General features: G+C 42.1%; 1 protein-coding gene across 23 annotated transcripts in view, besides 2 other annotated features; it reads left to right on the forward strand.

Moving 5' to 3' along the window:
• Nucleotides 1–12843, forward strand: part of MGAT5 (alpha-1,6-mannosylglycoprotein 6-beta-N-acetylglucosaminyltransferase) — a 334687-nt gene that overhangs the window by 149829 nt on the left and 172015 nt on the right. For all 23 annotated transcript variants that reach the window (XM_006712534.4, XM_047444397.1, XM_047444400.1 and 20 more), the window contains one exon: nt 623–787. In XM_006712534.4, the coding sequence (XP_006712597.1) occupies nt 623–787 (165 nt within the window). The remainder of the gene's footprint in view (nt 1–622; nt 788–12843) is intronic.
• Nucleotides 10687–10836: an enhancer, noted in NCBI's record as "active region_16554". NCBI's record gives its function as "activates an Ori minimal core promoter by ATAC-STARR-seq in GM12878 lymphoblastoid cells {active_cell/tissue: GM12878}" and the evidence as "EXISTENCE:reporter gene assay evidence [ECO:0000049][PMID:35858748]".
• Nucleotides 12606–12815: an enhancer, noted in NCBI's record as "active region_16555". NCBI's record gives its function as "activates an Ori minimal core promoter by ATAC-STARR-seq in GM12878 lymphoblastoid cells {active_cell/tissue: GM12878}" and the evidence as "EXISTENCE:reporter gene assay evidence [ECO:0000049][PMID:35858748]".

The raw sequence follows: 12843 nt of genomic DNA on the forward strand, positions 1-12843 counted from the left end.
TAATATCTGGCACATAGTAGTAGCTTAATAAATATTTGTGAGCAAATGAATGAGACTAATCTTTATTTTAAATATTTCCTAAATCTGATTATAGTCAACTCTGGGTTACCTAGCAGACCTGAAAATCTGGAGCTGTAGCTTTTATGAAGTGTTAGTGTATGTAACTAACAGAATTAAACACTTTTTAAAAAACTGGGACATGCTAGAGTATGCAACACGAAAAATAACAAACTTGATCCAGAGGCTACTTTGGGATCTTGCTGCACCCTTGGGGTGTCAAGCTTTGTGTGAGAAACTATGGTGCTGTAAGGAGGAGGAATTCAGTGTAGTGCTATAGCAGGATGCTAAATAACAAGGAGTTTTCTCTCTTGACCAAGTAGCTGGAAATAGTTATACCATGTTACTTATTGCCAGACTTGCATTCCACGACAGACTGATGTATTTAGTAGGATCTGGGCCAGTTGAAGACGGCCCTTGTCATCTTTCAGATGTGGTTTGACAGATCTTTTGTATCACTTCAGAAACATTTGAGAAGTTTTGTTCTCCACGATAAAGAGAGAGCAAGCCAGACAGATATGTAGAGGCCATAGAATTTTAAAATTGTCTGCACTTTCTTTTACAGATCTGAAGAAAACCCTTGCTGTGTTATTAGATAACATTTTGCAGCGCATTGGCAAGTTGGAGTCGAAGGTGGACAATCTTGTTGTCAATGGCACCGGAACAAACTCAACCAACTCCACTACAGCTGTTCCCAGCTTGGTTGCACTTGAGAAAATTAATGTGGCAGGTAAAAATAGCAATTCTCTGCCCTGATATGGAGTCACACCCTGCTTTGGACCAAGAAGAGAATAAAGGAGAGCAGTGGTTCTTACTGGAACCTGCATAATATAAATTCTATAAACTTGGCATGGCCATTGTAAAGATAAGTCTAAATTTATTTTTTAATAGCAGATGTTAAAATGCTTTTTATAGTTTTATCATGATGCATAATATTTGGTGGTTTGTGTGACACATTTGCTCTTAATGAGCTCCTGGAATTCACTTGTAAAGAGAAGATTCATGGCATAGATTAAATGAAATACAGAGGTTATTTGAGAAGCTTGTGCCTTTTAGAGTTCTTCCTCCTCCGTACTCCCATCAGACAATTTTGAAAGTCTGTTACGTATAATAGGTTCTCTCCTCCCTGTTGTTAAAAAAGAGCCACCATTGCCGAAAATGCCTCCTATGTATATATGGAGAAATAGAAATTCTGGAAATGGCTTTTAGGAGATAACCCCTGCCTAGTCGTAGGCAGATTCTGTAGCCACTCATGTACACCACCATGCGGTTCCCACTGGGAGGCATTTTGTTTGGCTCCTTCTGGAAACTGGAATATTGGATGAGACAAGGAAAATTGACTAAAAACAACACCCAGATTATACGCTGCATGTTGTTGCCTGCAGCTCACATTAGAACCCCCCCATCCCCGCAACTCCCCCACCATCACACTGCTCTGAGGTCAGCCCCTGGGTCTTTGTGCTTGAACCAGGACTGCTCTTGTTAGGGTGACCACGATTTTCTGGGGACCCAGGACAAAGTGAAGAGCCTGAGGATTAGGATTCAGTGCTTTGGGTGAATGGTTGTGAACAAGCTGTCTATACTTTTGGTGGGTGGTAGCCAAACTCTGGTTAATAGATAAAGTAAGTAACTAGGTTACTTTTGACATCAGTTCCTGCTTTAAAAAAAAATCTTGTTTCATATACTTTTAAGCTTATTTTCCTTTCCCTTTTGCTTGTAAAAATTCACACACTTAAGTGGGAGAGATTCTTTACCTTTCCCACCTCCCAGCGTCAAAACATTTAATTGTTTTACATTATGCAAGGTGGTTGTTATTACCTTTTTTAATGTTCTTTGCCCTTTAGCAAATTTTAAATTGCAAAATATATTTCTAATAATTCAAAGTATTCAACCAAACAAAGGTATTAAAAATAACTTTTAATTACAACACAGAGGCAGTGTCATCTAGGCCGTAAATCCTGTCTTCCTTGCAGTTTCCAACAGCTTCTGTAATTAGACAAGAGAACCTCCCACTGTGTTTAGCTGCTTTTTAATAACTGGAACCATGCCTCTTCAGTCTCCACTTGCCACCCCTGTACCCTGTAGAAAATGCTACTGGAAAGGCCCTATGTGGTTTCATCACTGTTCTGTGTCATATTTCTGGAGGTGGGATGGAGTGTTCTGCCTTTAACTTTGCTGTTCTCCACTGCCTCTGAAGTCCTGTGGCTTGTGAGCCTCTATAAACACATCTGCTGTCATTCTTTCCCCCATCGTGGCATCTTGCTGCCTCTGGCTGTCCTGTTTGTTGCAAGGCTCACAAGGACTTTGCTACCTGGGCTTTAAGCCACAGAGCACAGGGTCGTGGGTACACCTCTAAGAAGGAAATGGGAAGGACTTGGTGACTACTTTCAAACGAAGTCTGGAAATATACCAGCCGTATGTATTGAGCTAGTGTACCGCTTAACAAGCATCATGTTCTCTAAGCCAATGGCTCTGAGCGGGACTCCTTTAAATGTGCCACTGGTGCTGTGTTTTTAATAATATTTAAAGAACCAGAGTGTTGTGTTTTGTTTTTTTTTTCCTTTTTGGGCAATGGGAGCAAATTTAGAGTTACACATTTAATGATTAACCTCATTTGCATGTCTTTGCATCTCTCGGGTATGTGTGGGACACAGTCCATACCATCATAATTTTTACTGGCTAATTAGGAAAAGAATACACATGCATAAAATGACACAAACCATGGTTGCTGTAAAGTGGGGGTGACTCAGAAAAAAATTGGGAGGCAGGGAAGGAGAGGAAACTAACATTTAGTAGCTGTCCAGTAAATACAAGTTCCTCTGCCTGACCCTCCAATGTACATGATTTTACTTAATCTTCTTAGCATCTCTGAGAAGGGTTTTCACAGGTTTTGTTGAGTTTAAGTACTTGGGAGTGGGTGACTGTTGGTACTGGAGTCCCCTGAGCTCAGCTTCAGATCTGCTAGTGCTATGTAGAGAAGAGATTCTGAGTGTTAACTCCATCTCTCCTTCCATTTGTAAATTATCATAAAGGCATGTGTCTGTAAAAAGATGCTACCATTTTCTTACCTAGAAGAGAGCTGCCAGTTTCCTAGATTTAATCATCTGTCTCATTAAGGATTTCTCTGTCTCAGTGTCTGCTCTCAGGCTAATGTTTGTAAAAGCTGGCCCGTGTATGTGTGTGTGTGTCTGTGTGTGTGTGCGCGCGCGCGTGCGCGTGCATGCATGCAGAGGCATCCCTTTCATAGACACTGTCTTGGCCAAAGTGGATATAGATATGCTGGACAGCCTTCTTCATTTCCCCCAGAAGGTGGGGGGGGGTCCTTTATATCTTGTCAGTCAACTACATATTTTTAAAAAACGATTTGCCATGTCTATAGAGTACCAGAAAGAAGGACAAGGACTTAAGTGAACAGTTCTCATTTATGAGCAGCCCTTCCTTGCTTTTCTGCCCTCTCTCTGATCCATAACCATGCTGATGTCTTCAGACCCCTCTGTCAACCCAAGAATGGCTCCTGAGCTGTGAGAGTTCAGTTTTATGGGGTTCCAATCCTCGCCAAGTAAAGTTTTTCTCTCTCCCTTCCTGAATGGAGACATGCGGTAATTGCTCAGAAATGTTCTCCCTGGTGTGTCTTTACAGCTGACTCTGGTGTCTTATTGCTCACTGATGTTTCTGATTGCTTATTGTTGTGTCTTATTGCTTGCTAATATATCTTCTGGTTGGCTATAAACTGTCTCTAAATTGGGTACCATAGCAATTGAAGAAGGATTCCCTAAATTTATTTTCTTTAGGGGGATAGCTCTGTGTGTGTGTGTGTGTGTGTGTCTGTGTGTCTCCTTATTTTTTCTCTCTAGCTGTGTTCTGTGTAGCTTTTATCCAGTATGGCTTATCTTCACAAATTTATCACCGAGGGTTTTTTAATGTGAAAGTAAATTTGCCCCTAGGGAAATTTAGGTGGAAATGAGCTTTATTAAAATCAAGAAATCAGATTGAACTGGATTTTTGAGCTCTGTTTGTCTTGTTGAAGAGAAAGGGGACTCAAAGGAATGAAAAAGCAGATTTTTAAAATCCCCACCCTTCCACCAATCACACAGTAAATTAATTTCTCCATATTCACTTTCTGAAAGGGCTTGAAGGGCCTTCGTCAAAATTCTCTCCTTTTAGAATGATGCTTTGAATTTTAGAAAGACCCATTCTGTCTTTCTCTAGTTTTGTGATCTTAAGTGAGGAAGTGGAGCGAATAGGATTGGATCTGTGGTTCTTTGTCATGTACCTGAAATGGGGAAAAGGTAAAAAGTATACATATCTGATCATGAAAATGCTTGCCTTCTAAGGACTGAATGTCTGATATATCTTTGTTCTGCCCATAGTGTCTTGATTGTAGCCTTACCTGTTGAAGATAATTCAGTAAATATTGCTCACATGGATTGGTTTCTATTGGAGGGAACAGCATTTGGTTTCACCACCTGGAAGAGTTTCTTCTTATAGTTCTTCTTCTCAATTTACATTTGTGGTGATTTGCCTAGAAGTCGGACTTGGTATTTCGTTTCCCTAGTTCTCAGACCTTAGCAGACACCGCCTAAGAAGTGGGACTGCCTTTTTTGTTGGTCAGGACTGAACTTCCCATCAATGGTTATGGGATGTGGAGGCTTCATAGGATGTGATAGTTACAATCCTAGATGTGATAGTTACAATCCTAGATTGTGATACTTTAGAGGACAAGAACATTGTGTAGCTCTCTACGGGGTAGTGTATGTATGTGCATGTGTACACATTTATTTATACTCTCAATAAAGAGTTGTCATTCAAGGTCAGCTGAATAACTGGCCAGTGCTGACTGTTCCTTAAAAGCCAAAACCATAATGATAGCATCCAAGTGGTGTTGTGATGACTTAATAATTGCAAGGTCACTTGGGAAGCAGAACCACAAAATCAAAGGTACAGGTATAACTCAAGCGACAGTTTCCTGGTATTTAATCCAAGTTGAACTTACAGCAACCCTGCATTTTTTCCAAAGTGGGGAGCGATATGCAACACTTTCTAGTATTTGGGGTTGAAGTGCAATGTATTTGAATTTGGAAGCTGTTCTTAAAAACAGCAACCATTATTATTATTCTTACCATTTGAAAGTTGAAAATGAAAAATGTCCCTGCTGAGTTCCAGGGCTTGCATTTGGAAGTGCAATTTCCCCCTCTTTGTGCTGCTAATGGACCTTGAAATTTAGTTGTACCTGTGCTCTTTCCTTGTATGTGTACCCATGTCATCAGTTTGTGTTGAAGTAGCACCTGAAGTGTCCCAGCTCCACCCCTGGGCAGTGGCTCAGCAGATGACTTTCCCAGGGTCAGATACTGGTATGTCAGTGAGATCCCAGATGCTACTGAGAGACGGGAGAGAGATGAGATTGCAGGTGGCTTCCTATTAAGTTGAGCAAGAAGCAAATATGTTCTGTCTATCTACCTGTCACTTTCTGTTTTGTTATTTGCAATGGTAACAATAAATATGTGGACCCTTGTCAGAAGCTATTCTTTTGGTATCTTTACAGAAAAATGCTTGTCTTTGTTGGTATGGTTTTCACTTTGTGTGGTCAAGGATATTTTGTTTTTATTTAGAAGAAGAAAGACAGTTCAGAAGTGATGGTGATCTTTGAGGAAGTGAATTTATAGCAGTGATTAACAGCTGTGGGCGATTTTGCCCCCAGGGGACACATGTCAATGTCAGGACACATTTTGGTTTTCACAAATGAAGAGGTGCTATTTCCTTTTTTTTTTTTTTTTTTTTTTTTTGAGACAGTCTCGCTCTGTTGCTCAGGCCAGAATGCAGTGGCACTATCACAGCTCTTTGCAGCCTCGACCTTCCATGTCCCCACCCCCTGCCGCCTCAGCCTTCTGAGTAGCTGGGACTACAGGCAATGTGCCATCATGCCCGGCAAATTCTTTTTTCTTATTTTTTGTAGAGAATGGGGTCTTGCTATGTTGCCCAGGCTGGTTGGGCTCCTAGGCTCAAACGATCCTCCCACCTCAGCCTCCCAAAGTGCTGGGATTACAAGCATGAGCCACTGTGACTGGCCTATTTATTTCTAATAGATGAGGACAAGAGATGCTGCAAAAAGCATCCTACAATATATAAGACACTGCCCATAATAGAAGTATCCAGCCCCAAATGTCAATTGTGGCAGGTTTGTGAAATTCCGATCTATGAGATACTGTTAGAATCTGGTGCCAGCAGATATTTTCACCTATGGTTAGTGCAGAAAGACGCCTGAGACGCTGAAGTTTCCTGATTGCCAGCTGAGACCTAAAGTTCCTTTCCCTTTTCCTAGCAAGGCTGTTCACAAGCCCCCCCACCCCCGCCGCCCGCCAATCTCCACCTCATTTAGCTTTGCCACTGGTCTTGGAGGCCTCCAAGGAAAGAGATTTTAGAAACTCCCAGAAGACTATTTTAGGATCCTGCCCTTAAGGAACTCCTTTCCTGGCCCACAGTGTGCTTTTGGCAATGTACATTTTACTTCTGCTTCTATAGAAGGTAATTATTTCTTCTCGTGAAAGGACCACTAATTCCGGATAACAATGGTACAAAGTAGTCTTAGAGAATGGGTTTAAATTGCAGAATGTTTTAGAAGAAATTCTTTGTTATTTTAAGCAAAGTATATAATTATCAAGATATGAGAGAGTAAATTAAATAAGTTAAAGAAAACAAGACAGGTCCCCAAAGATCTACTTTACATCAGAAAATACCCTTGACAGCATACTTGGAGCAATATTGAAGAAAATGAGACTAGAGAGTTAATTGGGATTTGTGATGCATTTTCAATGTTAAATGAAGGAGTTTCTATTTTGTTCCCTGGGCCGTGGCAGTTGATGAGAGGTTTAAAGTAGGAGGATGAATAGGTGTGAGGTCTGTATTTCCAGAGAATAATTATGGGCCATGTGGAGTGAAATGCATATGAATGGGTGAGAGAGACTGCATTTAATCTTCAGTTAGGAGGAGAATGCCCTGGGTTAGAGATGTTCCTATGGCCCAGGGAGAAAGAATTTGAGACCCACGTTAGGGTGAAGCTGGTGTTATGGGGACACGGACAGACCGTGGGACAGGGCAAGGGAGAATTTGTCATAATTATTTCCAAGGGTGTAGCTTGAAGGATAGCTGGGTGACTCATTATTGAGGAAACAACCCAGCAGAGAGACAAGGTTCCATGAGGACTGTAGCCACAAGCCATTTGTTTCAGAATATCGGTTTAAAGGCAGTTGAAACTTTGATGCTAGTGTTGAGGGGATGAGGGACAATGAAAGGCAGCATCTGTGGAACCAGACTGGCTCGGTTCAAATACTGGCTCCACCACTTCATAGCAGTGTGACTTTGGGTAAGTTTCTTAGCCTTCCTCTGGCTGAGTTTCCCCATTTGTAAAATGGGGGAAATAATAGTAGTGTCCATTTCACAGTATTGTTAGGAGGTATATTAGTCCATTTTTACAGTGCTATAAAGATACTACCTGAGACTGGGTAATTTATAAAGAAAGGAGGTTTAACTGACTCAGAGTTCCACATGGCTGGGGAGGCATCAGGAAACTTGAATCATAGTGGAAGGGGAAGGAAGGCACGTCTTACATGGCGACAGGAGAGAGCGAGCGAGAGAGCAAGGAAGTGCCACACTTTAAAATCATCTGCTCTCCTGAGAACTCACTACCATGAGAACAGCATGAGGGAAACTGCCCCCATAATCCATTCACCTCCCACCAGCTCCCTCCCCTGACATGGGATTAAAATTTGAGATGAGATTTGGGTAGGGACACAGAGCCAAACCATGTCAGGAGGATTAGGTGAGACCAATAACGTTCTTAGAAACATGCTTGGCATAAAGTCAGTACTGTATGAGCATTTGTTAATTACAGTTTAAAAGTTACATATTTGGAATATTGACATAAAAATGGAACACTGTAGTGACTTCTTATTTGGATATCACCACTAATAGTGAAATTAATATGTGTATAGTGCTTTATAGATTAGAAAATAATTTTGTATATAGTGTTTCACTGGAACACTTTAAATTTGAAGTTCCCAAATTGATCTTTTTGTGCCTCTGTTATCAATATTTAGCTCATCACGAAATTCATGTTTTGTCAATAATCTCTTGGTTGCAAGAGGCCAACCACTTAGCTTATATTAACTTAAACTAAAAGGGAACTTGGGGCTCATGTCATTTGAAAGTTTGTGGGATGCTGTTGAGAGGTTCAGACATGGGAGCCATCTTTAAGAACCTCAGCTGTGTCCTCTCAGGTATTGGATACTGTCAGAAGCCATTTCTTTTGGTATGTTTACCGAAAATTCTTCTCATTGTTGGTATAGTTTTCACTTTGTGTTGTCAAGAGGGTTTTGCTTTTTATCATTAAGAAGAAAATACAGTTCAGAAGTGATGCTGTCCTTCAAGGCTATGTTAATATGTTCTGTCTTTTATTTTGCCTTCATTCTTAGGCCATCTTTGCATGGTGAGGGCAGAGATGGATGGTCCCAAGGAGGCTCTAGGTTTTAGTTTTCAGTCCCAGACGGCTGTGCTGCTTTCCAGGAAGTTTTGGCAACTCTCTAGAGCAGGGTCATGATTGGCTTGGCTTGGCCTCTATGCCTATTCATGATCCAGTCAGAGTGACCAGTATCATGTTCCATCCTGATTGGCTAGGCCTGGGTCACATGGGTCACCCCTGGGAATTCATGGTATAGGAGAGGGTCCCTGAAGAGATTTCAGATGAGCAGATAAAATGCATATGGCTACTAGAGACCCTGGTCATGTCATGGTTTGGCTTTCTGGAGCTATCCTAAACCTGACTCAAGCTTTTCTCTCCCTGAGTGTTTGGAGGGCAAAGCCTCAGGACTGCTAAATTTCTGCCTCCATTTTAAGCACTACTGTGGCCAAATGTGCCTCAGCCCCACTTGGAACGAGCCCAAACCCCTGCCTGCAGTTTATTCATGCTCTTACACACTTAACATGTTTTTGTCCACAGCCTGGCATGCTTCTGTTGTTCTGGCTGACTCTTCTTTACCACTTTTTTCAAGTCTCATTTGAAGCTCTGTCTCCCTAAGACTTGCTTGATGCCCCTCACATCCCAGAGGTTTGTGATGTCCTTGCCTTGTGTTCCTACCATGTGTGTCCTTGGACTTTTCCACTCTTTGCTTGTCTTCACAGCCAGTCTGTAAGCTCCTCAAAGGCATGGGTGGGATCTCATATTTTTCTTTTCAGTTCAGTGCTGAGCTTGGAGTCTGGCAAATCACAGGTTTTTATCAATAAATGTCCAGCTGGGTACATTCCTCCCTCTCCTAAACACAACTCCTGCCGGTCAGGCACTGTGTCCTAGAACCTTTGCCATGACGCTGATGGCCATGCTTTCACTTCTAGATCACCATTTCTGCCACTTATGTGCTTTGACAGGTCCCTGAATCCTTTTGGAATTCCCAGAAGCACCTGGAAAGTTTACTGCTAAATTGTTAAGACCGGAAGAGCCTTTGTTTCACTTCACTTTTGAAAACTGAGATTCCATAATAAGAATTTATTTTGTGTTTCTTGGTGGCTAATTATAAACCTGTAAGTAGGATTAAAAAAATTCAGGCCACCTCCACTACCTGAGAGGTTGCTTTGAATGAATAGTTCTTGCAGAAAAGAAACAGGGACCCAGAATTTCTAATTCTGTTGGACTAATTACTGACCCTTCAAGGAATACATGGCTTGTTTCATTTCGAAAAGTGAGACTATATATATCCCTGTCGGGAATAATGTTCCTCCCCAGCCACTTGATGGGGGAACTCAGTAACATACACTGCAGGGCTGTCCTGGGGACCTTGAAAGTGCGTCTACTCAGGGTTGTTCTTTGTATTGGTGATAGGACATGCTGAAATTAGACTTGTTTGTTTTAATCAGAAGGTGACAGATCCCACTTGCTTAATTTGGCTTAATGAGGTATGTGTATACAGTTGTGATATCAGCTTACATATGGTATTGATTCAATAGACATTCCACAGCTACAGCATAGCATATGCTTCCTCAGATAGTCCCTTGTCTGTGCTGTTTCATCCTTTACCTGTTTTCACTGACAAGTATTTCAACAAACTCACTGTAGAGCCTGAGATCTTAAAATTTAAAAAAATACTTGGAATAAAGCTGATTTGGTGAGACATGGAAGAGAGGTATCTGACTCCATGTTTTTGAAAAGGTTTTGTAGGTTTGAAGATTTCTGGGGTTTTGAGAGATTTTCCTTTAAGCTGTGCTTTTGGCTTTGCATATCCACAGCTTCTAAAATTAGGCAGCCTAAATAAAAATCAGTTGCTAGTTTTTGTTTTTCCTTTCTCGCTTACATCCCAGAAAAAGGAGAGAAAGCAATGCGGGGTGAAGATGGTTTGAAATTCTTTGGGTTTAGAAATGACAGAAAGAGGGATTCAATTAGGGGTGTGACTGAACTGCCCTACAGTTCAGGACAGCAGAAATAATCTTCATCTCACAGCCTCCTTCTTCTGTACTTCTTTTACCCTTGAACATTCAGCAAGTCTCACGTGTGGGATCACAAACCCCAAATCTGCTTATGTCAAGCAGAGGGCCCATGGCGTGGACAGAGTCACCCGAGGACGACATGTCTGGGATTGACAGAGCATTATAAACTGCATTTTGATTTGCATTGTCAGAGTTGGACAGCTGCACTCTTAGCTGGTTTTAAGCTGTCTTGAAGTTTCATGTTGGAGAGGTTTTCTAGTCAACGTTTACTGTGGAAACTTTCCTTTACCTTGGTGCAGCTAGAGATGGGCTCTTGAACCAGAGAAAAGTGGACACCCAGTGAAGGACTTGTGCTAATGTTTTCCCCCTTCGGGGGACTTGATTAAACAGCAGCCACATGATTATGGGACCCTGGATAAACCCAGTCAGTTTCCTCATTGATAAAATGAGGATAAGAGCCTGTACCATGGTATTGTTGCTAGGAGTATGAGTTAACACATGGAACACACTCAAGGTGCTGGGCACAAAATAAGAGCTCCGTAAGCTTTGGCTATTGCCTCATACGCTTCTTAAGTGTCCAACTCAGGTTTTCACTCCTGGGCCAGGCATGTAGCAGATGGTCAGTGCTTAATGGGCATGTAAACTACCCATTCCCAATGTTGCATTTTATACAGAAAACCGGACCTTGTGAAAGGGCTGTCCAGAAGCTACTTGGCAGTCACAGCCTGGACCTGGTCTTTGGCATCAGACATTTTTGAGCAGAACTCTGGGTCCACTTACATACTTGCTGTTAGCATTTTATTATACTTAACCATTGCTGACCCTCCGATTCATGCTCTGTGCAATGGCGGTAGTGACACCAACACTGTCCTCATGGTGAGGATGCAATGAGATGATGCATATTGAGATCCTGGTCCAACATCTTCCTGTGACCTACCTACTGACCTTGCCCTCTGTGATTAATACCGTGTTACAAAGCAGTGGTCACAAACATAACGTGGCAAACACTGATGTATCTTTTATCCAACCTATGCGGACAGCATGATGCCAGGTCTGTGTCAGGCATCGGAAATGCAGCTGGGTAGGAAACTAGGGCTCCTTTTGGGAATGTTGAGTTCACCATCTACCGGAGGAGAATGACTGAAAGTATTGGTTGCGCTCATGTCTTTTTTGACCCTCAACTTGTAGATGCATTCACCCTAGTCCAAGAAAACCTATTGGCTTTGCCTGACCTTTTGGCCTTAGAAATGACCTTCAAACACTATAGCCATCTCAGGATAGGGATAGCAATGATGTACAGGAACTGGCACAGAAGGAATTTTCTCCTGTCACAAGGCAGAAGTTGTATGGCTCCTGTGCTACTTGTCACAGCAAACTTAAGCAGATCCAGAAACTGCCTGACCCTTTACTGTACCTTCCCACTCCAAAATGGGGAGGGGAACTCCTGTGCGGGAGTGCTCAGCTCTCAAGGGAAGACAGTCATTAACCTGTCTAAACTCTATGTTAATAGAACCTTCTCGATAATTGCTTTCATTAAGTGTGGTTAATGTGAACAGTACAAGTTATAGCAAGATTTGCAGAAGAACAAAGTAAATATTTAAGACTTTATTTCAGGATGCAGTTGGGTCGAGGCAAGGAGAAGATTAGTAGAAGCTGTATCTGATGGTATCTGAGGTTGAAACACAGTGAACCTCTTGGCAGAAGTGCCAGTCATTTCTCATCAGTGGTTCACAGAATCCTAACTCTGGGGAGGCAGATGGGTGTCTCCTGGAGATGGTTGTGTGTTCAGGTTTTCTCCTTTCGCTTCTGGCCTCTGTCAGACATGAATGACATGGTGATGAAGATAAACTGCCTTCCCTGTACTGCCCAGGAATGCAATGAGGATTAAGAAGGTGGCTTTTAGCCTGTGTCTATGCCACATGGGGAGGATGGTTGCTCCCTGAGGGCAGAAGGCCATTATTAGCAACTGAGTTGGCCAGGAGTGTGTGCCATGCCGGGCTGGGTGTACGGAGCTGTCAAGCCAGGCACCTGGGGATTAATTTAGCATGGGTTTTCATGCCCCCGGGCTACCAGTGACCATACAGCCATCATCTCTACCTTTGAGTTGATGTGTATAACTGAATAATAGTGCTGTGTTTTCAAAAGGAAAGGCTTAAAAAACAGTGCTTCTGTAGTACAAGGAGGGATGCTCTGCTGAAAATCTGGAAATTACAGCTAAGCAAAAAGATGAAAATACAAAGTAGCTGTTATTCTACCACCCAGAGATCGATTTGTTTCTTTACTAACAGATACGGCAAGTGCCTGTTCTGTGCCAGG

The sequence above is a fragment of the Homo sapiens genome, chromosome 2 (genome assembly GCF_000001405.40).
Source record: "Homo sapiens chromosome 2, GRCh38.p14 Primary Assembly".
Lineage (NCBI taxonomy): Eukaryota > Metazoa > Chordata > Mammalia > Primates > Hominidae > Homo > Homo sapiens.